This window comes from Homo sapiens, chromosome 16 (genome assembly GCF_000001405.40).
Source record: "Homo sapiens chromosome 16, GRCh38.p14 Primary Assembly".
Taxonomy (NCBI): domain Eukaryota; kingdom Metazoa; phylum Chordata; class Mammalia; order Primates; family Hominidae; genus Homo; species Homo sapiens.
This window is the reverse complement of record NC_000016.10, coordinates 47,228,132-47,255,075: the sequence shown is the minus strand read 5'-3', so window position 1 is coordinate 47,255,075 and position 26,944 is coordinate 47,228,132. Positions and strand designations below refer to the sequence as shown.

General features: G+C 38.2%; 1 protein-coding gene across 2 annotated transcripts in view, besides 1 other annotated feature; it reads left to right on the top strand.

The window, feature by feature from the left end:
- The window catches only part of ITFG1 (integrin alpha FG-GAP repeat containing 1), a 306,856-nt gene that overhangs the window by 206,171 nt on the left and 73,741 nt on the right, over positions 1-26,944 (top strand). For both annotated transcript variants that reach the window (NM_001305002.2, NM_030790.5), the window contains exon 13: positions 17,068-17,111. In NM_001305002.2, coding sequence (NP_001291931.1) covers positions 17,068-17,111 — 44 coding nt within the window. The remainder of the gene's footprint in view (positions 1-17,067; positions 17,112-26,944) is intronic.
- Positions 24,451-24,651: a silencer, noted in NCBI's record as "peak2577 fragment used in MPRA reporter construct". NCBI's record gives its function as "represses an SCP1 promoter by STARR-seq MPRAs in K562 erythroleukemia cells {active_cell/tissue: K562}" and the evidence as "EXISTENCE:reporter gene assay evidence [ECO:0000049][PMID:32103011]".

The following is a 26,944-nucleotide window of genomic DNA, read 5'->3' as shown; positions in this document are numbered from 1 at the left end:
TCGGTCTATTGCCCAGACTGGAGTGCAGTGGCGCGATCTTGGCTGACTGCACCCTCCGCCTCCCAGGTTGAAGCAATTCTCATGCCTCAGCTTCCAAAGTAGCTGGGATTACAGACATGTGCTGCCATGCCTCGCTAATCTTTTGTATTTTTAGTAGAGACGAGTTTTTGCCATGTTGGCCAGGCTGGAGCCAGTGTACTTTAAAGGAACTATTTTCTCAAGTCTGAAGCTTAAAAAAAAGACAGATTTATTACTTAGTTCATCTGAATGTGGTATGTGCCTGTGCATACCTGAACAGATTAAAGATCAATTCTTTCTAGGACAGATGTTACGCATTAAGTACTAAGGAAAATTTCAAGTGCAAGAGATATTAATCTGTATATTGTTAAAACAAATCAAGTTCTCCCTGTGCTCAGCAAGTTCTTTTATTCAAGCCTTGAAACTACTTTTATACTAAAAGTTCTGTTTTATACTCTTAAAATAGAATGTGATTGAACTGTCTATACTTGTGAGTTTTGCTGACTAGCATGAGGGCCTGCGACTCCACTGCTTTCCATGCTCAAGTCTGCAAGTTCTTCCCTCGCACAGAGGTCCCCAGCCAGGTAGAACGGATGGGAATCAGAGCATAGGGTTTTTGTAACATTGATAAGATATTCCAATTCCCAGTTGTAATAATAATAATAATAATAATAATATGCTAAAGAGAGTAGGCAGTTCTCAGGGTGAGGCAAAAGAAGGTCTGACTTTTTTTATATTGATCATTTAGAAATTATCCACGTGGGAAAATGTATGCATATAATTTAGGGTCCCAAGTTCTTCCTTGGCATTTATTCATTTACATTTTTTTTAATTACAAAAACAAGATATTAGAGATGGGGAAAATCTCAAAAGGCATCTTGCCCAAGTCTAACCTAATGCAACATCTTAGCTTCTGCTTGAATGCTTTGTACTAAAGGAGACCTCACCTCCTCATAATGCAACACAGACTTCTTTTATGATCAGTTTAGTTGTTAGAAAACTCAAGTCAAAATGTGCATATTTAGTTAGTTCTGTCCATTGATACTCATGTCTGGTGTATAGTAGGCCCTTTATAGGTATCTGTTGAATTTTTTAAAAATTGTTCCAATAAAATTACTCTAGTTTTTATTGTTAAAGCACACCCTAACGCAGGGGTCCCAAACCCCAGGCTGCAGACCAGTACTAGTCTGAGACCTATTAGGAACCAGGCCGCACGACAGGAGGTGAACGGCCGGAGGGCGAGCAAAGCTTCCCCTGTATTTATAGCCACACCCCATCACTGGCATTACCGCCTGAGCTCTGTCTCCTGTCAGAGCAGCAGTAGCATTAGATTCTCATAGGAGCACGACGCCTATTGTGAACTGCACATGTGAGGGATCTAGGTTGTGTGCTCCTTATGAGAATCTAACTAATGCCTGATGATCTGAGGTGGAACAATCCTGAAACCATCACCCATCTAACCCCCATCTGTGAAAAAATTGCCCTTCTTCTGCAAAACCCATCTGTGGTGCCAGAAAGGTTGGGGACCACTGCCCTAACTTATAATCATAATAACAGAATACTCAGAACACATCATGGTCCTGCTCAGGAAAATGTAGCCTTTACATCATTAAATAGTGAGACAGCAAACTACCTGACAGTGAAATGACATGTCTGAGCCCTTCTTTAAAGTAATCCAGGGATGTGGAAGCTAGGTATACATGAAACAAGGTTGGCCATGTGTTGTTGACAGTTTTTCAAATTGTGAGAAATGTGTGTGAGGTTCATTCTGCTATTTTCAGTTTTATATATGTTTATACTTTTGTTTGAAATGTTCTGTAGTAAAAAGTTAAAACAGAAAACTGAAGAGAGTCTTGAGAATCTCTAATCTGGAGTTTAAGAATCCCTGGCCTTCAACTTACCACCCTAAATCAGGACAAGTCACCCTGCAGTCTCAGTAACATTATCCTGAGGAGAGGATTCTCCACACATCTCCAAGCTGAGACCCATAGATAGCCAATTTGGTGCAGGAGGTTTTAGTTTTAGAAAACAGGATAACTTTGCATTAAAGATATTAACATAAATATTAATAATGTAATTTACAGAAAGGTCACAGGAAATGAGATCCCAATTTAAAGCAATCATTTGGAAGAAAAATAACCTTCTAGTTGTTTTGAGATGCCCTTCCACTCTTTCCTTTGATTATCGGTTGTTTGCCTTAAGTCAGTTACTAGCACGTAATTACCCTTCACAGCCATCGGCAATGTCCACAGCTGATTTTGCTCTTAAATTATTCTGTTACTCTAATCTCAAACCAGCCTATACTAAATGCCACTGTTTTTCAGTTAAGGAAATTGGGGATACTTAAGCTTTTATATGTGGCCATGGCAATGTAAACTGCCCTTCTGCTTCTCTTACGCACAGCACAGCAGATCCACAGCACTTACATGAAGACGGGGACCTTGCGTATTACAGAATTGTGGGGTCCCCTCTCCCCTGAATCAAGACTAGTTACTAGCTCTCATCTTTTATTGTTATTCCTGTCAGATACACTTGGAGGTTCTGAATCTTAATTCTAGTCTAGAACTTAACTCATTTCTAACAAACCTGGATGAACCCTGTTTCCCCTAGGACTTTTAAAATTGTAACAGTATCTTCACCTTTGTTTACCAAACAAGATGAGACCTTTCCTTTGGGAAAGCTTTCTTTTTTCTTTTTTCTCCAAAAGCAGATACTTAATGGGAAAGCTTTTATTCCCCTTGCCTGCCTCTGGGTTTTGTTGAAATAATATGGAAGTTTAATTTCTGGATGATTAATTTTGTTTTACTTTTTGTGCCTTCCATTTTATAAATCCTTTCTTAATAATTCACAACCATATTATCAGTAATAAACAAATTTTACCAGCCTTATTGCCACCTTTTTTCTTATACACCACATTTTCCCCTATTTCTTTTGGTGAAGTATTTTCTCAAGTTATTTTCAGAAAAATTGTACTTAGGTTAATATATTTTCTGAGTACTAGTATGTCTTAAAATATCTTTCTCTTGCTCTTACTGTTAACACTAAGTTCGCTATTACAGAATTTTATAAACATTGCTCTATTTTCTTCTTGCATATAGCGTAGTCCCCACTTATCCACAGTTTCACTTTCTGTGGTTTTAGTTACCCATAGTCAACTGTATTCTGAAAAGATGTGAGTACAGTACAAGAAAATATTTTCAGAGTGAAAAACTACATTCACATAACTTTTATTACAGTTTATTGTTACAATTGTTCTATTTTATTATTAGTTTATTGTTGTTAGTCTCTTACTATGCCTAATTTGTAAATTAAACTTTATCATAGGTATGTACATATAGGAAAAAACAGCATATTTAGGATTCAGTGCTCTGCACAGTTTCAGGCACCCACTGGTGCTCTTGGAACATGTCCCTTTGGATAAGTGGGGGCTACTGTAATATGCTCATCTTTGAAATTCCCTCCTGTTCCTGTGCATGTTCTGTTTAGGGTGGGGGCCATTTATATGATTATTCCTGTTAGTCTTCCTTCTCTTAAGCTGTTGCTTTTCTTCTTGTGCATGAGGAGTTTTCTCTGCTTACATTTCTTAAAAGAATCAGTGTTGGTGGGTAGTGCGGGCGGGGTGGGTCACTATATACTTCTGCCCATCAGACAATTGCCACTGCTTCCTTTTTCCTTTCCCCTTTGGGGCTCACAAGCTGGGAGCCCACCAGGGGTAGAAGCTATATTTGAGCAAAGTGGTGGCTTGAGGGCTCTCAGACAGGAGAGCTGAAGTGATGCCTTAAAGTTGAACTCCAGCTGCCTTCTCTGTGAAAGTCACTAGCAAGAGACACAAGAGCCCTGACTTACTCCTGTGGCCTCAACCGAGGGTGTCGACAGGCTCTCTGAGTCTGAACACATTTGTGCATTCCAGTGGGAAGTAATGAGAGGATGTTACAGGGAGGAACTCACTGCTTTGCTGAGCTTTTTTGTGTTGTTTCATCCTCTATGCTAAAAAGTTTGTGTTTTGGGCAACACTGTGCAGTTATATAGGGCACTGACTAGAAGCACCAGCAAATCCCCCACTTTACTTAGCTACCAAGAACTACCAAGTAACAAATGCAGCTTTTCCTGTCACAAGCCTCGAACCTGTTTTCCAGAGACCCTCCATTCCCCTTCTTTCCTCAGCCCTGGCATGTTTCCCCTCTCAGCTGCCGCAGCTCTGAGCTGAAAGGTTTCCCAATGAGCTGCTGGGGGGTCCACCCCCATTGCCCCAGTAGCTCTCTGACCTGCTCAACACTAATTAGCTCTTTCTCAATCCTACTCACCTATTCAGTATCCTTTAAGAATTTCTCAAGATATCTGTCATTTATTATTTTTGAACATTGCAGTGACATTTAGGGAATTAAGGAAGGTAAATAATATGTTTTGTTTTTGAAATTGTCTCCTAGAAGTTATTTCAAACATACTGACCTGGAACCAATATGTTTTCTGTTTTTTAATTCCTTGTTTAATATTTTTTAATTTAAGGGGTACAATATGATATTTTAGTATATGTATACCTTGTGAAATTATTAAATCAGACAAATTAACATATCCATCATGTCACATACTTACCATTTTTTTATTCGATATGTTCTTAAAGATCAAACTGCTCCTGACTTTAGCAAAAATTTTAACAAATTTATATGTGTATGAAATATATGTATATATATTTATATAGGTATATATTATATAACTACCATATTTGATACTTAATATGTACACATAAAGAACAAGATTAAAATTGCTTCAAAAATATGTTTCTGTATTTTTTTACAAAGAGCATATGATTTTACAATTTAATAAAATAATTAATGAAAGATAGGTAATCAATAACAGACCAAAAAATCTTCCATAGAATATCTAAAATAATGTCGTCTAAATGACAAGAATGTCTGGAAGCAGGTACTTGATTTTACACATGTGCTCAAAGCTTGAGTAATTTTTAAAGAGGTGATAATGTTTTTGTGTTCATATGTCTTAAAGAAACAAAGCTTAAAGACATTTTCAGAGAAGGAATATGAATAGTCACTCAGAATCCAGGCAGGAATTTTTTACTTTAAACACAACTAAAACCATTATACAGTATTGACCTTTACAGCTTTGGCTATTTAACTCATCCTTCTCCCAACCTGCACGTTGGCTTAGTGTTACAGTATTTATGCACGATTATTGCCATATTTGGGTTTTGGTTTTGACATTTGTGTGAAATAGCTAATATAAACTGAATCACAATGCTAGAAGCCAAATTTTTATACTTTAAATATCTTTAAGAATACATGGACTGTAACATACAGTATGGTTTAACATGAAATGATAAAATCCTAAGCATTATCATGTTAAAAGAAACTTACAAATTGCACATCCCATTGTCCATGTTTTAAACTACAAATTAAATCTCCTAATAACCAGTATTTCACATAGCTCATCAAGTGTTTTAATTACTGCTTTTTATTTGTGAATAGGCTGTTTTCATATTTTTTTAATCTTTAAAAACAAATTTGGTTTTAAAAGTCCCTAGGAGTATTAGAAATTACTTTTTGGAACAGCTCATTTAAAAGGGTATTACACAATGTTATAATAATCCTGTGTAGAATTTTTGTAATTTCTTTTTCTTTTTTGAGACACAGTCTCGCTTTGTCACCCAGGCTAGAGTGCAGTGGCATGATCTTGGCTCACTACAACCTCTGCCTCCTGTGTTCAAGCAATTCTCCTGCCTCAGCCTCCCAAGTAGCTGGGATTACAGGAATACACCCCCACACTCAGCTAATTTTTGTATTTTTAGTAGAGATGGGGGTTTCACTATGTTGGCTAGGCTGGTCTCAAACTCCTGACTTCAAGTGATCCGCCCACTTTGGCCTCCCAAAGTGGTGGGATTACAGGCATAAGCCACTGTGCCCAGCCCATAGTATGATTACAAATAATATGTAATTACAAAAGCTTATGAAATTATTAAAAATTCTTAAACTTCTAGAGTTAGCCAAAATTAGCTAGTGAAAAAACATTCAGTTACACTTGAACTAAGCAACACAGAGAGAGTTACACTTGAACTAAGCAATACAGAGAGACACTTAAAAATCAAACAAAAACAGTTATTGCCTTCAAGAAGCTCACAGGGGCAAAGAACACAAATAGTAGAAGGCTAGAATTGCATACAGGTGTCTGTCCTGTTAAATTTCCCTTTTCCATAATGGGCCCTTTATGTATTTTAGCATACCTTCCCATTTATTATACTTACTTAAAAAAATAAGTTTCACTTCACCCATAAACCTATATTTTTATATCAGTAATATAACTGTCTCACTTTTAAAAAATGGGCTTTTGCTGTAATCATAGTAAATTCAGCCTTGGCACATTTAATAGTGTTTGTTTTTAACCTAACTGAAGCACAGGTGATGAAATTTTTATTCTGATATCACTGGGGAAATTACATATTTGCACTCATTTAATAGACTACTTTAAATAATTTTTACTTGTTCATAAGCTTGACATTGTGGAGTTTTTAAATTATAATTTCAGGGTGACATTAGTAGAATCACCATCAGTCTATCCTTTTACTTTTTTGATTATGCCAGAGAACTTTAACACATTATTTCTTTTTTTTATTGGTAAGGTTTTGGTTTAGTATTTATTTAGTTTTGTTTTCTGATTACAAAAATAAGAGAGCCTATTGTAAAACATTTGGAAAGTCAGGAAAAGTATTTTAGAAAAGCTGTGCTCTTTGCCACTTAGTAGATATAACCACCATGAGCACTGAGCATTCTCTGCCTGCTTCTGCTGGTCTCTGAAGTTTCAGGCACACTGAAAGAAGCTGCAGCAATGAAAGCTGATACCTCTAAATCCTGAAATCCAGAATGATAGAATCTATAGTTTGTTTTATAAACAAAACAGTAATAGCTAACATTTATTGTTTATCATGTGCCTTCTGCTTTACACAATTGCTTCCTATAATAGTATCCTATATTAAGTTTTAGATGAAAATACGTGAGTATGTATGTAATGTTACATATGCTGTAAGGAAAAAGAGAATGCAGAAAATTAGCTTACATAGTAGCAAGTTCCATTTCTGGTTCTGCTCTGCATTTCTGACATTGAGAGGATGCATCATCCATGATCCAGCCTCGTTCATTCAGACCCAGACTATTCAAGGCTTTGTTCTCTAGATAATTTTGTCACATGTGAGCAAACTTACACAAAGAGCCCTTTAAACCCAGGCTACTTCCCTCTGAGCTAGGGTGAGTATTAAGCACCTGAAACTACTAGATAACAATATAGATCCCGGTTTGGAATCAAAGAATTATGAAATAATTTATAAGGTTTATAAAAACTCCAGTTTAGAGGTTTTTATAAACCTTATAAATTATTTCATCCAACTCTCTTACTTTAAATGTTTTTGTAAAACCATAAAAGAGAGAGAGGTGAAGTGATTTGCCCATGATCACATCTTTCATTAGCTAACACAGCAAGACGTGGCCCTGCTTGAGATTTTCTGTGCCAAATGAATAGGAAGCTTGAAAGGAGTGGCACTTACAGCTTTGAGCCAGCATTGGTGTCAGATATTTGCCTTGAGGTTTACCCTTATCAACACTCATGACCTAAAGACTTAGTTTCTGTAGTAGCAGATTATTAATAACAGAAGATGAACTACTAACATACATATAAAACTTACACTCTGTTGTGTTTTCCAGCCATATTTAAATCAGTTCTGCCTTTCATGAAGAATTTACATCTAATTGTAATAAACTGTGATTGAAACCATATTCCTGATGAGTCTGTCCCTTTAATATATTGAGCAATAAGAGGGGAAAAAATGAGAATAAAAATTTTCTTTATATGGTCTGTAAATTTCAAGAAACCTAATGTTTTTCAGACATTTTCAAATTTCATTAACTCAAGAGGGGAAGAAGATAGTAAGTATGAGGGTGGGTGTCCTCTTTTTTTCTTATAAGAAAACTAGGCCATGCGTGGTGGCTCACACCTGGAATCCCAGCAGTTTGGGAGGTCAAGGCAGGCGAATCACTTGAGGCCCCAAGTTCGAGACCAGCCTGGTCAACATGGTGAAACCCCATCACTACTAAAAATACAGGTGTGGTGGCAGGCGCCTGTAATCCCAGCTACTTGGGAGGCTGAGGCACGAAAATCACAGGAGGTAGAGGTTGCAGTGTGCCAAGATGGTGCCACTGCATTTCAGCGTGGGCAACAGAGTGAGACTGTCTCAAAAAAGAAAACTAAAGGGTGGGTCACAGAGGATTTGAGTGGTAAAACCAAAGCTAAAAGTAAAATTTCATCCTTCTGTAGCACTCCTTAACAAAAGCAGTATCATTACTGAATGTAGCTAAAGACATATTTTCCTACCTTACATCAAACATACATAGCTAGCAGAGCCCAGAACCCACGCAGTCTGAGTCAGCCTCACCTGCTGCATAGCCGTATAGATGTCACTGGGAAAAGGTCAAGTTCTGTAGGTAAAATAATTTCTGAGTGGACACAGATAAACCTTTATAATATTATGTAGAGAGTTCAGAATTCCTAATTAAACAATATTATGAACCAGCATGATAATTAATCAAGGGTTAGTATTGTTTCTCCTTGAATCTGTGGTTGCAAAAACCAAGGAAATGCATACTCTATTTGTATTATGTAGACACCCCTTTTTATAACACATATCTATGGCAAATATGTATCATATTTTTTCATGTTTAATACCTAGTTTGACTTTATTGTATAAAATTTCTTAGTGGAGAAAAGATGTGGCAAAGTTAAGGTTACATTTAAGTCTTATCATGTGATCCTAATGTTATAATGTGAAACTTCAAATTTGACAGGAGGTCTTGTGAAAAAACAAAAACAGATGCAAGAACCAAGTTTTTAGCTTATTGTACACAAAATGGAAGAAACTATTACATGATTTTTGAATTGTATTATGTGATTAATACTAATGTGATTATGTGATATATTAGTAAATACTCTAGACTATGCTAACCAAGACACAGACATTTTATCTTATACAGAAAATAACCCAATAGTTCATCGATTTCTCATCTCCTATCATCGTAGGATAATGTGTTCCTTAAATGAGTTAGTTTCTTGTTGCTTGTTGAAAGCAGTGGCCACATAGTCTTGCAAAAGAGTTCCATTCACCTTGTGACCGTGAGTATGGTCCGAATCTTCAGTTCTTCAGTTTCCTCTTCATTTAAAAAAAAAAAAAGGAGGAGGCAGGGGACAATTAGAATTACTTCACAGTCTTGATATGAAGATTAAGGAAGACTATTTGTAAAAGAAAATTCATGTGTTCACAGCTTGGCACTTACCAGAAGATAAATAAATGGTCTTTTTAGATGTTTGATAGTCTTTTCTGGAGAATAGTTTCATTGTGTATATCAAAAGCTTTCAGATTGAACCCAGAAATTCTGTTCTATACATTTATTCCAAGGAAATTGTCAGAGATGTGCCAAAGATCTGTGTATAAATGTACCAGGTCCATAAAGCTGATCTTGCCAATGGTGTTTTTAGGAGGAAAAAAAATTGGGGTATGAGGAGGGGAAGAACCTAAACATCCTAATAAAAAGAAGGGGTAAATACACACACACGTAAATGGAATACCATGCAATTATGGGTTGAAGTAATAAGTGTGGGGGAATTACACAATAGTATGTAGTATGATTTCATCTACATAATTTTTTTTTTTTTGAGACAGAGTTTTGCTCTTGTTGCCCATGCTGGAATGCAATGGCATGATCTCAGCTCACTGCAACCTCCACCTCCTGGGTTCAAGAGATTCCCCTGTGTCAGCCTCCCTAGTAGCTGGTATTACAGGCACACACCACCATGCCTGGCTAATTTTTTTGTATTTTTAGTAGAGACGGGGTTTCACCATGTTGGCAAGGCTGGTCTTGAACTCCTGACCTTAGGTGGTCCACCCGCCTCAGCCTCCCAAAGTGCTGGGATTACAGGCATGAGCCACCGCACCCGGCCTAAAAATGTTTTTTAAAAGGAAGTATGTATGTGTATTAGTCTGCTCAGGCTTCCATAACAAAATACCGCAGGCTGAGTGTCTTAACAGAAATTTATTTCTCACAGTTTTAGAAGCTAGGAAGTTAAAGATCAAAGTGCTGGGAAGGTAGATGCACTCTGAGCAGCCTCATCTCCTGGTTTCTAGGTGGCTGCCATCTCAGTGTGCTCTCACATGTTCTTTTCATGTGCATGTAGAGAGAAGCAGCAAGCTCACTTATTAGGAGACACTGATCCTCTCCCTGTGACCTCATTTAACCTTAATTGCTTCCTTAGAGGCCCTGTCTCCAAGAACAGCCACATTGGGGGTTAGGGCTTCAACATATGACTTTGAGGGAGGGGGTACTCATTCAGTCCATAACATACAGAGGGGTAAATACACACACACACACACACACACACACACACACACACACACACACACACACACACACACAAAAGATGGAATACCATGCAATTATGCATAACATAAGAGACAGGACAAAACCAAACTTTGTTTCGTCTACTCTCACACAGTCACTACAACACAGAATATTTTATCTCTGGTCACCAAAATATGTAGGGATTCTGCCTTCCCCCTCCGTACACCAACCAATCAATCAATTCTGACACTATCTACCTAGAGATAATCTGTCAGATCCCATAGGTTGAGGGCTCAGCCCCTCAAGATTGCCCCACATTGCAGATGCCAATCACAAGTCCCAGGTCAGGACCTGTACTTCTGACTAACTGGCCATGAATCAGGGTTCCCATGACCCCCTCCTCGGGTTTGATTTGCTAGAGCAGCTCACAGAACTCAAGGAAACACTTTACTTACGTTTACCTGCTTATTATAAAAGGTATTACAAAGGATACAGGCAAACATCCAGATGGAAGAGATGCATAAGGCCCTGTTTTTGAACATGATGTAAATGAAATCATACAGGATGTGCTCTTGGCACCTGGCTTCTTTTGCTCAACACTATGTCTGAGATTCATCCAACACATTTATTTATTTAGAGACAGAGTCTCCCTTTATCGCCCAGGCTGGAGTCCAGTGGTGCAATCTCAGCTCACTGCAACTTCCGCCTCCCAGGTTCAAGCGATCCTCCTGCCCCAGCCTCCCGAGTAGCTAGGATTACAGGCACCTGCCACCACTCCCGGCTGATTTTTGTATTTTTAGTACAAACGGAGTTTCACCATGTTGGCCAGGCTGGTCTCGAATTCCTAATCCACCCACCTTGGCCTCCCATAGTGCTGGATTACAGGAGTGAGCCACTATGCCCAGCCCAACACATACTTTTAAATGGAACTTTATGAAACATATTTGCATGCATCTTGGTTTTTTTACCTTAACAAAGTATAAGCCCCCTTTCAAGTCAGCACTTACAGGCCTCCCTCATTCTTCTGATACCTCCATATCATTCCATAATGTTATATATGTTCCACAATTTATTTCACTTTTTATCTCTCAGTGGATATTTATCTGGTTTCCAGTATTTCATAGACATGAGTTGAAGAGACTGTGTTTTTAATGTTAATCAATAATAACAAATTATCTTCCCTGAAAGTTGTAGGGATTTATATTTTCACCAGCATATGACACTATCTAGTTTACCACATACTCATCTGAGAGTTCTTAATTTTTATTTCACTAGTGAATTTGTTTTTAAAATAAGTAATGCAGATGGTCTATTAAAAACTACAAGAGTATATGATAAAAGTAGGTCTCCCTTTTACTCATCTCCCAGTGATACAATTCTCTTCCCAGAGACAACCACTTTGTATCTAAGATATTTTATGCATATATGTATATATATGTATAATCTAGAATATATTCAGTAGTTAAAGAAGCAATTTAAACTTCTTTAACTACTGAATAGTATCATATAGTATGGTTACAACATAATTTAATGAGTTCCTTATTCACATATATCATGTGGTTTTCAATCTCTTATTATGAATAGTGCTGTAATGAATATCCTGTAGGATAAATTATTAAAAATGGAATTGTTAAAGAATACATATATATTTTTAAATAAACATTTTATTGAAATATAACATATAGAAAAGTATACATAAGTGCACAGCTCTATAAATTTTAACACAGTAAACGTACCCATGCAATTACACGCAGATCCAGAAACATGCTACCAACATCCAAAATGTGCCCTCCAGCCCCCTTATTAGTTACTAACCCAGTTCACCTGAAGTAATTGCTATTGTAATTTCCAATACCACAGATTAATTCTCCCTTGTTTTGAACTTTATATTGTATTTTTTAACAGATGTCCCTTCACAGAAATTGTATAATTTTCTACTTCGACCTACAGTATATATATGAAAATGCTCTTTTCCTAACACCTTCACCAACCCAAGGGGTTATTAAACTTTTTGATCTTTGCCAGTTAGGTGAAAAATATGTCCTGTTTTTATTTCATATTGTTCTTATAATGAATGAAGTTCAGCATTTTTTCATATATTTAAGAGGCATTTGTATCTTTATTTCTATCTATAGTCCTTGTCCTTTCTTATTTTCTAATTGATTTATAAAATGTACTGTAGTATGTATTAAAGAGCCCTTTGTGATAATATATTTATTATTTTCCTTACAGACAATTTTATCATGCTTTTCTTTTTCACCTATCTCTTGGGAATAAAATTGGTTTTTTCCTAACTGGTGCAGTTGAGTGTCTTTCTCAGTGTTTTTTTTTTTGATTATTTGCATTTTCTCTTCCAGATATTGCTTCTTGAAATCCTTTGTTTTCTGTTGGATTATTTTCTAACTGATATCTAGAAGTTCTTTTTATATTAGCAATAGTATCTCTTTATACTGTTATATTACAAAAAGTTCACCCCCTTTGTCACTAGTCTTTTAAAATTTTATGGTATCTTTCTTATTTTGTAACAGCTTTATTGAGATGTAATTCACATACCGCATCATGACCCATTTGAAGTATACAATTTAATGGCTTTAGCATATTCTCAGCGTTGTGCAACCATCACTGCAATCATTTGAGAATATAGTCATCACCACCGAAAGAAACCCTGTACCTATTGTCTGTCACTCTTTTCTTTTTCTTTTTTTTTTTTTTTGAGACGGAGTCTTGCTCTGTCACCCAGGCTGGAGAGCAGTGGCGCGATCTCAGCTCACTGCAAGCTCCGCCTCCCAGGTTCACGCCATTCTCCTGCCTCAGCCTCTCAAGTAGCTGGGACTACAGGCACCTGCCTCCACGCCCAGCTAATTTTTGTATTTTTAGTAGAGACGGGGTTTCACTGTGTTAGCCAGGATGGTCTCGATTTCCTGACCTCGTGATCCGCCTGCCTTGGCCTCCCAAAGTGCTGGGATTACAGGCATGAGCCACCGCGCCCGGCCTTGTCTGTCACTCTTAGTCCCCCATCATCCCCCAGCTCCAGGCAACCACTCATCTACTTTATGTATCCATCGATTTGCCTATTCTGGACATTTCATATAAATGGGGTCATATAATATATGGTTATGTGTGACTGGCTTCTTACACTTAGCATAATGTTTTCAAGATTCATCCATGTTATAATATGCGTCAGTACTTTATTCCTTTTAATTGCCAAATAATATTCTGTTGCATGTATATTCCAGATTTTGTTTATCCAGTCATCATTTGATGGACATTTGGATGGTTTCCACCTTTTGGCTATTATGAATAATACTGCTATGAACACTGATGTACACATTTCTGTTTGGATATATGTTTCTTTGTTTTTCTTGGAATATAGCTGGAAATGAATTACTGGGTCAAAGGAGAACTTTATGTTCAGCCTTTTAAGGAATTGCCAGATTGTTTTCCAAAGCAGCTGCACCATTCCACATTTCCATCAGAAATGTATGAGAGTTCCAATTTCTTCACATCTTCAACAATATTTGTTATTCTTGGACTGTTTTATTATAACCATCTTAGTGTGTATAAAATGTTAACTCATTGTGAGTTTTTTTTTTTTTTTACCATCTTAACCATGATTTAAATTGTGGTAAAAACGTGTCACATAAAATTTGCCATCTTAACCATTTTTAAGGTATAGTTCAGTGGAGTTATGTATATTTGCATTGTTGTGAAACACATCTCCAGAACTTTTTCTTCTTGCAAAGCTGAAACTCTATACCCATTAAACAGCTCCCTTTTTTCCCTTTCCCCTACTCCCCACTAAGCACCATTCTACTTTGTCTCTGTGAATTTGACTACTTTAGATAACTCATTAAATGAAATTATACAATAAATGACTGCTTATTTATCCTAACATAATGCCTTCAGGGTTCATCCATATTGTAATATGTGACAAGATTTCCTTCCTTTTTAAGGCTGAATAATACTCCATTTTATGTATTTACCATATTTTATTCATTCATCTGTCAGTGGACATTTGGCTTGCTTCCGCCTCTTGGCTGTTGTGACTAACGCTGCCATGAACATGGGCATGCATCTCATAATGATTCTGCTGTATATTTTTCTGATGGTTAATGATGTTGCGCATCTTTTCATGAGCTCAGTGGCCATCTGTATATCTTCTTTGGAGAAATACCTATTCAGATCCTTTTCCTATTTGTCATCTGGGTTGTCTTTTTATTGTTCAAGTTTAAGAGTTCTTTTATTATTATGTCTTTGTCAAATATACATTTTACGTAGGGAGGTAAACTCTAACTTTATTTTTTTCCAAGTAACCAATTATCCAGCACCACTTATTGAATAATCCATCTTTTTTTTTTTTTTTTTTTTTTTGAGACAGGATCTCCATCTGTCACCAAGGCTGGAGTGCAGTAGCGTGATCTCAGATCACTGCAGCCTCTGCTTCCCGGCTCAAGTGATCCTTCTCCCTCAGCCTCCTGAGTAGCTGAGACCACAGACGTGTGTCACCACATCTGGCTAATTTTTTTTTTTTTTTTTTCTGGTAGACAGGGTTTCTCCATGTTGTCCAGGCTGGTCTCAAACTCCTGAGCTCAAGTGATCCACCCACCTCAGCTTCCCAAAGTGCTGGGATTACAGGCATGAGCCACTGTGCCTAGCCTGAATAAGCCATCTTTTTTCCTCCTTTAACAAGTATTTATTGAGCAAATATGTTGGGTGAGACCCTGAGAAAATAAGGACAGAATGATGCAGAGGTAACATCTGCGTGCAAAGACATATGTGTGCATCAGTAACTGTGGGTCAGCAAGATAATGGTTTAAATGAAGGCTTATGCAAATCATTTTGGAACAGTTGGAAAAGAAGTACCAATATCTACCTAAACTTTAGGGAAGAAGATAAAAGGAGAGTGAGAAGTTAGGGTTTTCATAATAAAAGAGTGAGAACCAGGCATTCTGCTGGGGTAGGAAATTTAAACATTGAAAACTGCTTGCAAGTGTAAAATATTTATTTCACTGTTTCCTCAAGTTGTATTTAATGTAAATATTCTATAGTAAATGAACAGGTATTCTCTTTTGTGATGAAATATATCATGTTTATTTCTTGGTGCCTTTTACCTTACATACTCTGTATCTTAGTCCATTTAGGCTGCTATTAATATAAAAAAAATATCTGGCCAGACCCAGTGGCTCACACCTGTAATCCCAGCACTTTGGGAGGCCGAGGCAGGCGGATCACAAGGTCAAGAGATTGAGACCATCCTGGCCAGCATGGTGAAACCCCGTCTCTACTAAAAATACAAAAATTAGCTGGGTGTGGTGGCGTGCACCTGTAGTCCCAGCTACTAGGGAGGCTGAGGCAGGAGAATCGCTTGAACCCAGGAGGTGGAGGTTGCAGTGAGCCAAGATCGTGCCACTGCACTCCAGCCTGGCGACAGAGCAAGAGACTGTCTCAAAAAGAAAAAAAAAAAAACCTTAGGGTAATTTATAAACAACAGAAATTTATTGCTCGCAGTTCTTGAGGCTGGGAAGTCCAAGATCAAGGCACTGGCAAATTCAGTGTCTGGTAAGGTCTCACCTCTACTTCAAAAATGGCACCTTGTTGCCACGTCCTCACATGGCAGAAGGGGTCAAAAGAAATTACTGGAGCCTCTTTTGTCAAGGCATTAATCCCATTCATGAGGATGGAGCCATCGTGACTTACTGTCTTCACAAAGGCCCCACCTCTTAACACTGTCACGTTGGTTATTAGGTTCCAAGACATGAATTTGGGGGGATAGCAACATTCAAATCATTACACCCTGCCTAAGTCAAACATTTATATTAGAATGATTGTCATTCCATAGTCATGTAATATAAACAAACAAAAGAAACCATTTTCTTCTGGATATATTTTAATCTACAGACAAATATTCATAACTAAGAAAATAATTTGTGCCCACTGAGAACTATCAGCTCTCTTTCTTTATCTTATAACATATAGCATTTTAAAATGATAGCATATAATGTCTGCTTTCTTATCAAAGGTATCACTTCACCAAAAGTGGTAGAAATATGGTTTTATTTCAGAACTCATATTATTTAGATAAAGATTGTTCAGATATTTTAACCTCTTTTTGCTGGTTATACAATAAATTTATCATTATTTTGTATATTTGTTGTAGACTCATCAATTATTTTATAGTTATGCTCTCTATATTAGCTATCAAGGGTACCCAAAATCTTTGACCCAGAATTACATGAATGAAAAAAGTCTAGTTTGAGATATAAAGTACTGAATGTAGATGTTTTTCTTAGTATACATTTTAGTTGGTTCTCATTTGGCACCCCTCTGTCAGAATCTAAGTCATCCTTGGAATTTAGCTAACTAATTGGAAAATAGAACCAACAGGTTCTATTTTAGGTATGGTATGATATAATCATAATTTATCTCACCTATATAGTTCACAAAATAGTAGCATCTTGACAGTTTAATAAAGGCTTTTGAAATATTGGTATAAAGTGAACAACAGAACTTTAATTTGCTCAGATCTAAAGAAATTGAATTGGTTTCTGCTTGTGATTATGAATCAATAGAGTATATTAATGGATCTTAGGGAGAAAATTAGAGCTCACTTTAAATATAAACTTATAATAGTAATAATTGCCTGTTTATTTTTCCACAGTTCTTAGTGGTCTGTGTTCTAATGACTGTCCTCGTAAGATAACAGTAAGTAAATTTATATCTGTTATAAATATGTCTATGAAAATTCTATGTATAAGTAGACACACACAAAATAGTTGTTATAGATTATCAAATATCATTATTATCTGGCAGTGATTAAAGAATCCTTCATTACTCAAGAAAACTGTGCTGAAAGTAAAGTACCTTTCCTAAAAAAATGTCTTACCTGAACGGTCGTCTTTATGAAGCCTTTTCTGATATCCTTAGCAGAATGACCACCCCTCCAATTATTTTAAGACATTTTGGCATTTATAATATTTCATTACACTTGTTTAGATTAGATGCCTCTCCACACGAGACTGTAACCCCCTGAAGTCAAGAACCATGTCATCTTGTGTACCTGGTATAGGTCGCAGAGACAAGCATATAGTAGGCAATTAGTGACTTTTTTGTGTGTAGTCTTAATATTGACTTGCTGTCTAATAGAATGTTTCAGTGAAATAACAAATGTGAAAATAATTAGTTTTTGACAGACCAATTCATGTAAACTGTAATAAGAATATTGTATTTAAAAGCATGCATGTGTTTGTGTGTGTGTACAGGGAACTGTTTGGGGTCTTTGTAGTAATCCTTGTTTCATAAGAAATTAGCCCCTATTTAAAGACAAGGAAACTGAGACTCAGAGAAGTTAAATTATCCAAAGTCATGGAGCTGTTAAATAGTGGAACTGCAATACAAACTAGGTGTTCTCATTATTGTCTCATTTTCTTAACAGTGTCATTAAACATTACATTGACAATATTTTATGTATAGTTGGGAAACTTCCCATATTTAAGAAGTGTAGAAACAGACCCTGACACAGGGATATAATCTAGACTCAAACTGGGGGCAACACCTCTGAAGTAGTGAAGAAAGCAGCAGTGGCAGAAGGAGAAGATGCATGGGGAGCTCTGGAGCTAGGATGATCCTTCAAATGTGGCCCGAACTGAGCCAGAGGGGCGCGGCTTTTGAACTCTTGCATCAATCACACATCACATCCAGACAGGCCGCCAGGAAAGTGTTAACGTTTATATGAGGCAGCTCTCTTTGGCTAAGAACAATCTCCAGGTAGGAACCCTGCTGTGAGCTGTTAGCAGCCAACACAGGCCAGCTCAGGGAATAAGTGTGTAGGTCCTGAAGAGAAGATCTGGATGAGGCGTCACCACAGTCACTGCAGCATGCATGTGAATGTTTGGTCCAACCCATATACTTTTATATCACTGTAAAACTGTGGATGGGATTCATCAGCCTAAAGATTAACTTGGTTATTCAGGTATTATCTACCCACTTTGTGAAACATTCAGACCTACATTTCTCCCTCTAACTAACCATATCTCCATTCTGTGGCTCTTTGATTATTACATGGTGGCCATGTAATAACTTTAAAAAGTTATATTTGAAACCACTGATTTTACTTACAAGTTCTAGGTGAAAGTTTGATAGGAAGGGCTGTATAGCCAAGGCAGGTGACACTTTTTTTTTTTTTTTTTTTTTTTGAGATGGAGTCTCACTCTGTCCCCCAGGCTGCAGTGCAGTGGCGCGATCTCGGCTCACTGCAAGCTCCGCCTCCGGGGCTCACGCCATTCTCCTGCCTCAGCCTCCCGAGTAGCTGGGACTACAGGTGCCTGCCACCATGCCCGGCTAATTTTTTGTATTTTTAGTAGAGACGGGGTTTTACCGTGTTAGCCAGGATGGTCTCGATCTCCTGACCTCGTGATCCGCCTGCCTCAGCCTCCCAAAGTGCTGGGATTACAGGCATGAGCCACCACACCTGGCCAGGTAGGTGACACTTCTAAGATCCATAAGGCTTCCTGTCTCCTTATCTTAAAATATTAAGCCACTTCTATCTTACAGTGAACAGAATCATTTGGAAAGTCACATAAGTAAAGTCCAACATGCAGAGCTGCCTTTATAATGATTACCATTACCGCCCAGCACCTTTGGGCTTTTCTGCAGATAATGTATCTGCCTCCCATTCATTCATGACTTTCTTTGAAATTAAGATCCTGTTAAGCTGCCCTTCACCATATCATTTTCCTTCTCTCTGATATTTTACTGATATCATAGATCACAATTTTATCAGCATGTAAACAAATGCACAGTGTACTTACCCAGTATCACAAATGTCAAATGTATGCCCACTTGCGAAATTATTTACTTCTTGAAAAAGTAGTTCTTCTTCATATTCCTTTGACATCAGATCATAGTAAAAAGTGTTATATTGGATGTGACCCAGTGTGAAACTGAGAGAGAAAATATACATCCCATATAGTATTCTTTACCACTTGAGTTAATTCATGAGTTGAATAGCTCTTCTGCTGGTTATGTGTTCTGTCACACCTGATAGGCAGACTATCAGGTGTATAGAAAGAGGAAAAAATTACTGAGCTCATGAACCGATCCCACCCATATTCCTTCATCTCCATTTTGAAAACTTCAGAGTGTTTTATTCATATTCAGTTTTAGCTATTCACTCCCATGGCCATAACCTGGACCTTATCTACCAGAATGGTTTCACTTTTGAAACCCTAATTTCATTTATCCAACTCTGACCACAGCCTATTTTCCAGCCCTCCCACTCTGTTACTCTAATTATACCTGTTCCACTTTAAAACCATTAGTCTCTTGACCTGTATCAGCCCAGTATTGTCTTTGCCCACCTCCTTATTTAGTTACCACACACCAACATTACTTCTGCCAGTACCTTTAACTCCTATAAAGCACTGACTTTCCAGTGTACCTGCCTGGGAAAATTTCAACCCTGGGTTAGTCCAGCTATCTCTTATTCCCTCCTATGCCTAGTATACTGGGCATTTCTGAAGAAAAACCTGTAGCTCTGCGTATTGGCACTACCCCTCTGTATTAGTCCGTTCTCATGCTGCTATGAAGAAATACCCATGACTGGGTAATTTATAAAGAAAAGAGGTTTAATTGGCTCACAGTTCTGCATGGCTGGGGAGGATTCAGGAAACTTACAATCATGGTGGAAGGCACCTCTTCACAGGGCAGCAGGAGAATGAGTGCCAGCAGGGGAAATGCCAGATGCTTATAAAACCATCAGATCTCCTGAGAATTCACTGTCACTAGAACACCATGGGGGAAACCGCTCCTGTGATTCAGTTACCTTCCACCAGGTCCCTCCCATGACATGTGGGGATTATGGGGATTACAATTCAATGTGAGATTTGGGTGTGGACACAGCCAAACCATATCACCCTAATTCATGGTCTTCAACCTCAAATGAGCTTTTTTAAATTATATCACAGTTTTATATGGAATCCAAGTCATATTTTCTTCCATTTCTTTTTTCTGGCTTGTTTCAAGATTTTCTCTTCGTTTTTGATTTTTTGCGGTTCGAATATGATATGCTTGGGTATAGATTTTTTCAATATTTATCCTGCTTGGTGTTCTCTGAGCTTCCTGGTTCTGTGGCTTGAGGTCTGTCATGAATTTTGGAAATTGCTCAATCATTATTACTTCAAATATTTATTCTTTTGCCTTTCTCTCTTTCTTCTTCTTGTATTCCTACTACGTGTATTTACACCTTTGGCATCTTCAAGCTTAACTGATTCTTTCTTAGGTCATGTCCAATCTACCAATGAGTCCATCAAGGCATTCTTCATTTATTACAGTTTTTTTATTTCTATTTCGTTTTGATTCTTAGTTTCTATCTCTCTGCTTACATTAACCATCTCTTCTTGTATGTTGTCTGCTTTTTTCCATTAGCACCCTTAGCATGTTAATCATAGTTATTTTAAATTCCTGGTCTGATCATTCCAAAATGCCTGCTATATATAAGTCTTGTTTTGATACTTCCTTTGTCTCTTCGGACATTTTGTTTTGTTTTGTCTTTTGCCTTTCTGCATGCCCTGTAATTTTTTATTGAAAGCTGGATATGATGTATTAAGCAAAGGGAACTAAGGTAGACCTTTACTGTGGAAGTTTTAAGGTTGATCTGACTGGGAATTAGGCTGTATATACTGTTCACAGTAGCTGTTGTGTTGGAGGCAATTATTTCCTCTAGTGTCCTTGTTTTTGTCTCCTCTGGTGTGTCGGTTTCGCTACAGACTCCTTCTTAAATGAAAGATAATGATTACAGTGCTTTGGGCTGTAATTCCCTGTTATACAGGAGCCCAGTTGATGAAGTACTGGAATAGGAAAAGTGTTCTGTCATCTTGTCATTAGGTCTCACTCTTTTAGTGAACCTGTGTCCCTGGGCTGTGACCTTCACAAGTGCTTCTCAGCTTCCCTGTCTTCTTAGGTGAGATAGGAGGATGAGAGGGAGCTGAAGTTGAGTATTTCCCTTTCCCCAGGTCAGTTAGGCTTTTGTTAAACCCAAGTCAGTTAAGCTGTAGTAGAAGTTTTCTTTGAAGGCAGGCTGTTAGGGAGAACAGAGAGCTCTGGGCATATTTCAGAATGGTTACCTTCTCATGCTTCTGCTGGAAACATAAAGGTATTTTTCTCCAGTCTTCACAGTGAGAATCTGGTGGAATTCCTGGAGGTAAAACTCAACAAAAGTGTAAGTGTGAGGGTTCCCCCCTGCCCTGAACCCTTGGAGTTTTGAACACTGAAGCTAGTCTACACTGAGCCTCCAGCAGTTTTTCAGTTAAGTCTTCCTACCTGTATTGGCTCCATCTTTGATCTTCTGCTCTTGGGCTTCTGCTTCTTGTAAGCTGTGACTCTGTTTCCACCTGTCTGTCTCTCCAGTTTGCAAAGTAGCAGTTTGTCCTGTGACCTTAGTTCTCTGAAAGATCTAAGAAAAGTTGTTGATTTTCTGTTTCTTTGCTTTTTTCTTATTATGAGAACTAGAGTGACAACATTAAGGAACTTTACATTCAGACCAGAAACTGGAAGCTCTCCTTGCATTTTTATTGGTTTTGCTTTATTTGAAGTTTGTTTTTGTCCATTTTACTTCATGGCTTTTATCAGTGTATCTGGTGTGTCATTTATTGCTCTTTATCTTGATTTTTTTAACTTTTTAAAAATTTGCAAAATCTATGAAAGTATAAATCAGTATAATAAAACTCCTTGGATGGGCACAGTGGTTTATGCTTGTAACCCCAGCACTTTGGGAGGTCGAGGCAGGAGGATCTCTTGAGCCCAGGAGTTTGAGACCAGCCTGGGCAACGTGCTGAAACCCCATCTCTACAAAAAATACAAAAATTACCTGGGTGTGGTGGTGTGCACCTGTACCCGAGCTACCCGGGAGGCTGAGGTGGAGAATCACCTGAGCCTGGGGAGGTAGAGGCTGCAGTGAGCCATGATCACACCACTGCACTGCAGCCTAGGCAACAGAATGAGACTGTCAAAAAAGAAAAAAGAAAAAAAAAAAACAAGAACAAATAACATAAAATTCTTGTGCCCATACCCAACTTCAAAAATATCATTATATGCCCAATTTTATTTCACCCATACCACCACCTACTACCCATCCTCCCCCTAGAGTATTTTAAGGCTAATCCATCATCTCTAAATACTTCAGTGTGTTGTAAATACACATTTTACTTACTATACCAGAAGTTCTCTTTCTTCATAAGAACTATTTAATACCCTTTCTACTTTCCCAGTTTCCAGTTCTCAGTAGTTAACCTTCCCTCCTACTTCAAAAAAGAAAATAATCCATAAAATGCAAATCTCTTCAACTATCTACAGTAATTTTGGAAAAGTTATTTCACTTCTGTTAAGCCTCATTCTCCATGTCTGTAAAACTAACCTATGTAAGTTTCCTATCACTGCTGTGACAAATTAACATAAACTTAGTGGCTTAACACAACACAGATTTATTCTCTTACAGTTCTAGAGGTTGGAAGCCTGAACTGTGTTTCACTGAACTAAAATCAAGTTGTCAGCAAGCCTACCTTCCTTTTTGGAGGCTTTGGGGAGAATCCATCCCCTTACCTTTTCCAGCTTCTTGAGGCTGCATATCTTCCTTGGCTCATGGCCCTTTCCTCCATACCCAAAGCCAGTAGTGTTGCATCTTCAAATCACTGGCACTAATGCATACTGCCTTCCTCTTTCTCCTATGGGGAGCTTTGTGATTACGTTAGCCCCACCTGGATATTGCAAGATACTCTACCCATCTTGAGATCTTTAATGACATCTGCCAAGTCCTTTTTGGCAGTATATTCAGCAGGCTCTGGAAAGTAGGACATGGACATCTTTGGAGTACCATTATTCTGCCTATCACATTACCTTAAGGTTATTGTTAAAATTAGAGGAATTAATGTAGATAGACCATAGTAGGCCCTAATACACAATAAACACTCAAAAAGTTTAGCTGCTATTATTTGTCAATGTTATTGTTGATACCCCTGCCTCTATAACATCCCTATATTGGTAGGGATAGTAAGTTCCAAATATTTTGAGAAATGTTGGTGTTCCATTTGTGTTTCAGGTACGACTAGAGGTATACTAGACTTCTTGACTTTTTCTTACTGTGTAAATCTTTTTAAACATCACAAATTTATGAAATATGGATATGGTAAATATCAGTATTATTAGTGGTGCTATCATAAATATCTGTGAATCAAAAGAGTATTTATATTCCTGTTTTCTGATTTTTTTTTCCTTCAAATATCCAACTAATTTTTGAAATCTTTTATTCTCAGTATAAGGCATATTCTGACCTTTCACTATGTCAGTGGAAATAATGGCGTTTTTCTCTGTGACTTGGTAATTCTTTTCACCAAAGTCTAGTGACTTTTTCCACTTCGTGGATTATGAATCTAGAAGCAGGCAGATAAGTACTTTTCCCCTTGGAGAACAGACGGTTTAAAAGTAGTCTTTGACTTCCCCATATACAAAAAGACTCTGTGCACATTCCTTTCAAAGAGCTCCATGGAGGCAGAAAACAGTATCTTTTTTTCTTGACAGTATGTCCTGGAACCTAACAGAGGGGCTGGTGCTTAATAATTTGTCATTTGGGCTGGGCGCGGTGGCTCACGCCTGTAATCCCAACACTTTGGGAGGCTGAGGCGGGCAGATCACGAGGTCAGGAGATTAAGACCATCCTGGCTAACACGGTGAAACCCCATCTCTACTAAAAATACAAAAAATTAGCCGGACATGGTGTCGGGCGCCTGTAGTCCCAGCTACTCGGGAGGCTGAGGCAGGAGAATGGCGTGAACCCGGGAGGCGGAGCTTACAGTGAGCCGAGATCGCGCCACTGCACTCCAGCCTGGGCGACAGAGCGAGACTCCGTCTCAAAAATAATAATAATAACAATTTGTCAGTTGACCTCTGCAGCACTAAACATAATCCCTTCCTCCACAGCCATTCTCATTGCTTTTCCTCTTGACTGAAAATCAGCGTGCCAGCTGTGCTGTGGGTCACACCTGCCTCCTCTCCAGGAACCTTATGGGCCTTGTTCCACTGTTTATTTGGCCTATGCATCTGGCCTCCACTTGTCTGCTGGTGTCTTTCCTTCAGCAGTTAAGGATGCCTAAGTCTCTTATCTGTACATGTATACATATGTACCTTCTGAAACCCACATCCCCTCCAGCTACTACCCATCTCTCTTTTCTTTTCTCAGCCAAACTCGAGTTGCCTGCATTTGGATCTCTCAAATTCCTCACCTCAGTATCCTTAACCCACTGTTATCGTCTAGCCTTTGAGCTTATGCCGCTGCAGCTGCATGTGATACTGCCAACACTTACCGAAACACTCCCTTTTCTCGGCTGCCTTCCTGCTCTTTCTTCCCAGCTCTCCTCCTACCTCTCTGTCCATTCTTCCGGGTTTCTTTATGAACTTCTCTTCTGCCTATCTTTCAAATGTTGGTGATTTTCAGGTTCCATCCTAGGTTCTCTTCTCACTATATATACAATAGTCCCCCCTTATCCACAAAGACGCATTCCAAGATCCCCAGTGGATGCCTGCAACCTCGGATAGTACTGAACCCTATGCACCTTCTTTTTCCTACACGTACGTACCTATGATAAAGCTTAGTTCAGAAATTAGGCACAGTAAGAGATTAATAACAACAATAACTGATAATAAAATAGAACAGTTATAACAATATACTGTAATAAAAGTTATGTGAATATTTATCTCTCAAAATACATTATGGTATTGTACAATGAGTAACTGAAACCACAGGACATGAAACCGCACATGAGCGGCGACTACTCTAAACTCTTTAAGTGATCTCAACCACTTTCCTGAACATCAGACCTTTGTATCTAAGTCCCTTACAAGGAAGGACCCTGAAATGTAATGTTCCCCACCCCCCAAAACCCAGTCCTCTTCCCACGTTCCCTGGCTCACTTTTTCCTTTCCCTTGTCTCCCAAATCTACTAGATTATCATTCTTTCCCCACAACTGTCCCTTCTCTCTGTCCTGTTACTTTATTTCAGGACTTTTTTTTTTTTTTGCCTGACTGCAGCAGTTATCTAAGCTATCCTTCAAAAACATACAACAGTGATCTTTCTAAAACACAAACCTTCAGTGGCTACCCTTTACCCTTGAGAGATGATCTAAATCTAGCTTCCTGAGATAGAGCCCTGGTTTACCCCTTCAGCCTTATCTCTTGCAGTTTTTCCTCAGGCCCTCCCACAACTCTATAATCAGATCTCTGAACCACTATGTTCTGTCACCTCTGTCACCTCCTGTTCCTGCACCTGCCTCTGTAACAAAGCCTTCTCTTCTTCACCTTCTCCTAGTTTGCTCTGTGTGACCTTCAGGTTGGCACTCAGACAATATTTCCTCCGAGAAAGCATTCCCTGGCTTCCGTTTGACATAGAGTTGGATGCACCTTCTGTTGTTTCTTAGCACCCTATGCCTAGTCCTACTACTGTCACTTATTATAGTTTAAAGTGGGTGAGTATCTGTGTTAAGTCCCTTCAGGATTGTGTCTTATTGATTATTCAGTCTTTACTCCCCAGCACAGTGCCTGACACATAGTTACATGACAAATATTTGAGGTATGAATAAATGAGCTTTCTCTAGAATTTGGTTTGCTTTTTAATGGGCCGTCATTGATAAGTTTACCATCACATCTCTCACCCCAATAGCATATTCACTGTTAAGTATGAAAACTTGAAAAATAAATTACAAGCTATTTACAAGAGAAATGCATTCTGGAAAAGCTCTGATGCAAAGGAAAAACATTCCCTATTAATGCTCACAGAAATACCTCCTAATGAAACACAATTGTTTCCATTGTTACAACAATTAATTTTTAATATATGCAACAGAACAAGGTGACTTAACTTTTTAATCTTTTCAATCAGAAGGGGTCTCAGGCTTTTACCTATTCTATTTAGGAACATTCTGACAAAGTACAGGACAAGTACATTTATCTTCGGGTCAGATGCCATGGCTTACACCTGTAATCCCAGCACTTTGGGAGGCTGAGGCAGAAGACTGCCTGAGCCCAGGAGTTCGAGACTTGTCTGACTAGCCTGGGCAACATAGTGAGATCCTGTCTCTACAGAATAAAAATGTTTTACATTAGCTGCATGTGGTGGCACACGCCTGTAATCCCGGGTACTCAGGAGGCTGAGGTGGGAGGATCGCCTGAGCACAAGTCAAGGCCGTAGTGAGCTGTGATCGCGCCACTGGGCTCCAGCCTGGGCAACAGGGTGAGACCTTGTCTAAAAAACAAACAAACAAAAAAAAAACCTTCTTATCTTTATTTTGGTGAAGTGAATGATCTTACTTGGTACTGTTTTACCATGCTTTAAAATATAGCAGGCATTACTTCAACCACTATTTATTGATTATAACTGATTTATTTGACATTCCTTAAAATATTACTCACTCCTTAATTCTGTTTGCCTTTCTTTTATCACACCTGACAGTGGTGATATCATGCTTCGTGTACCAAAGATAGAAAAACGATG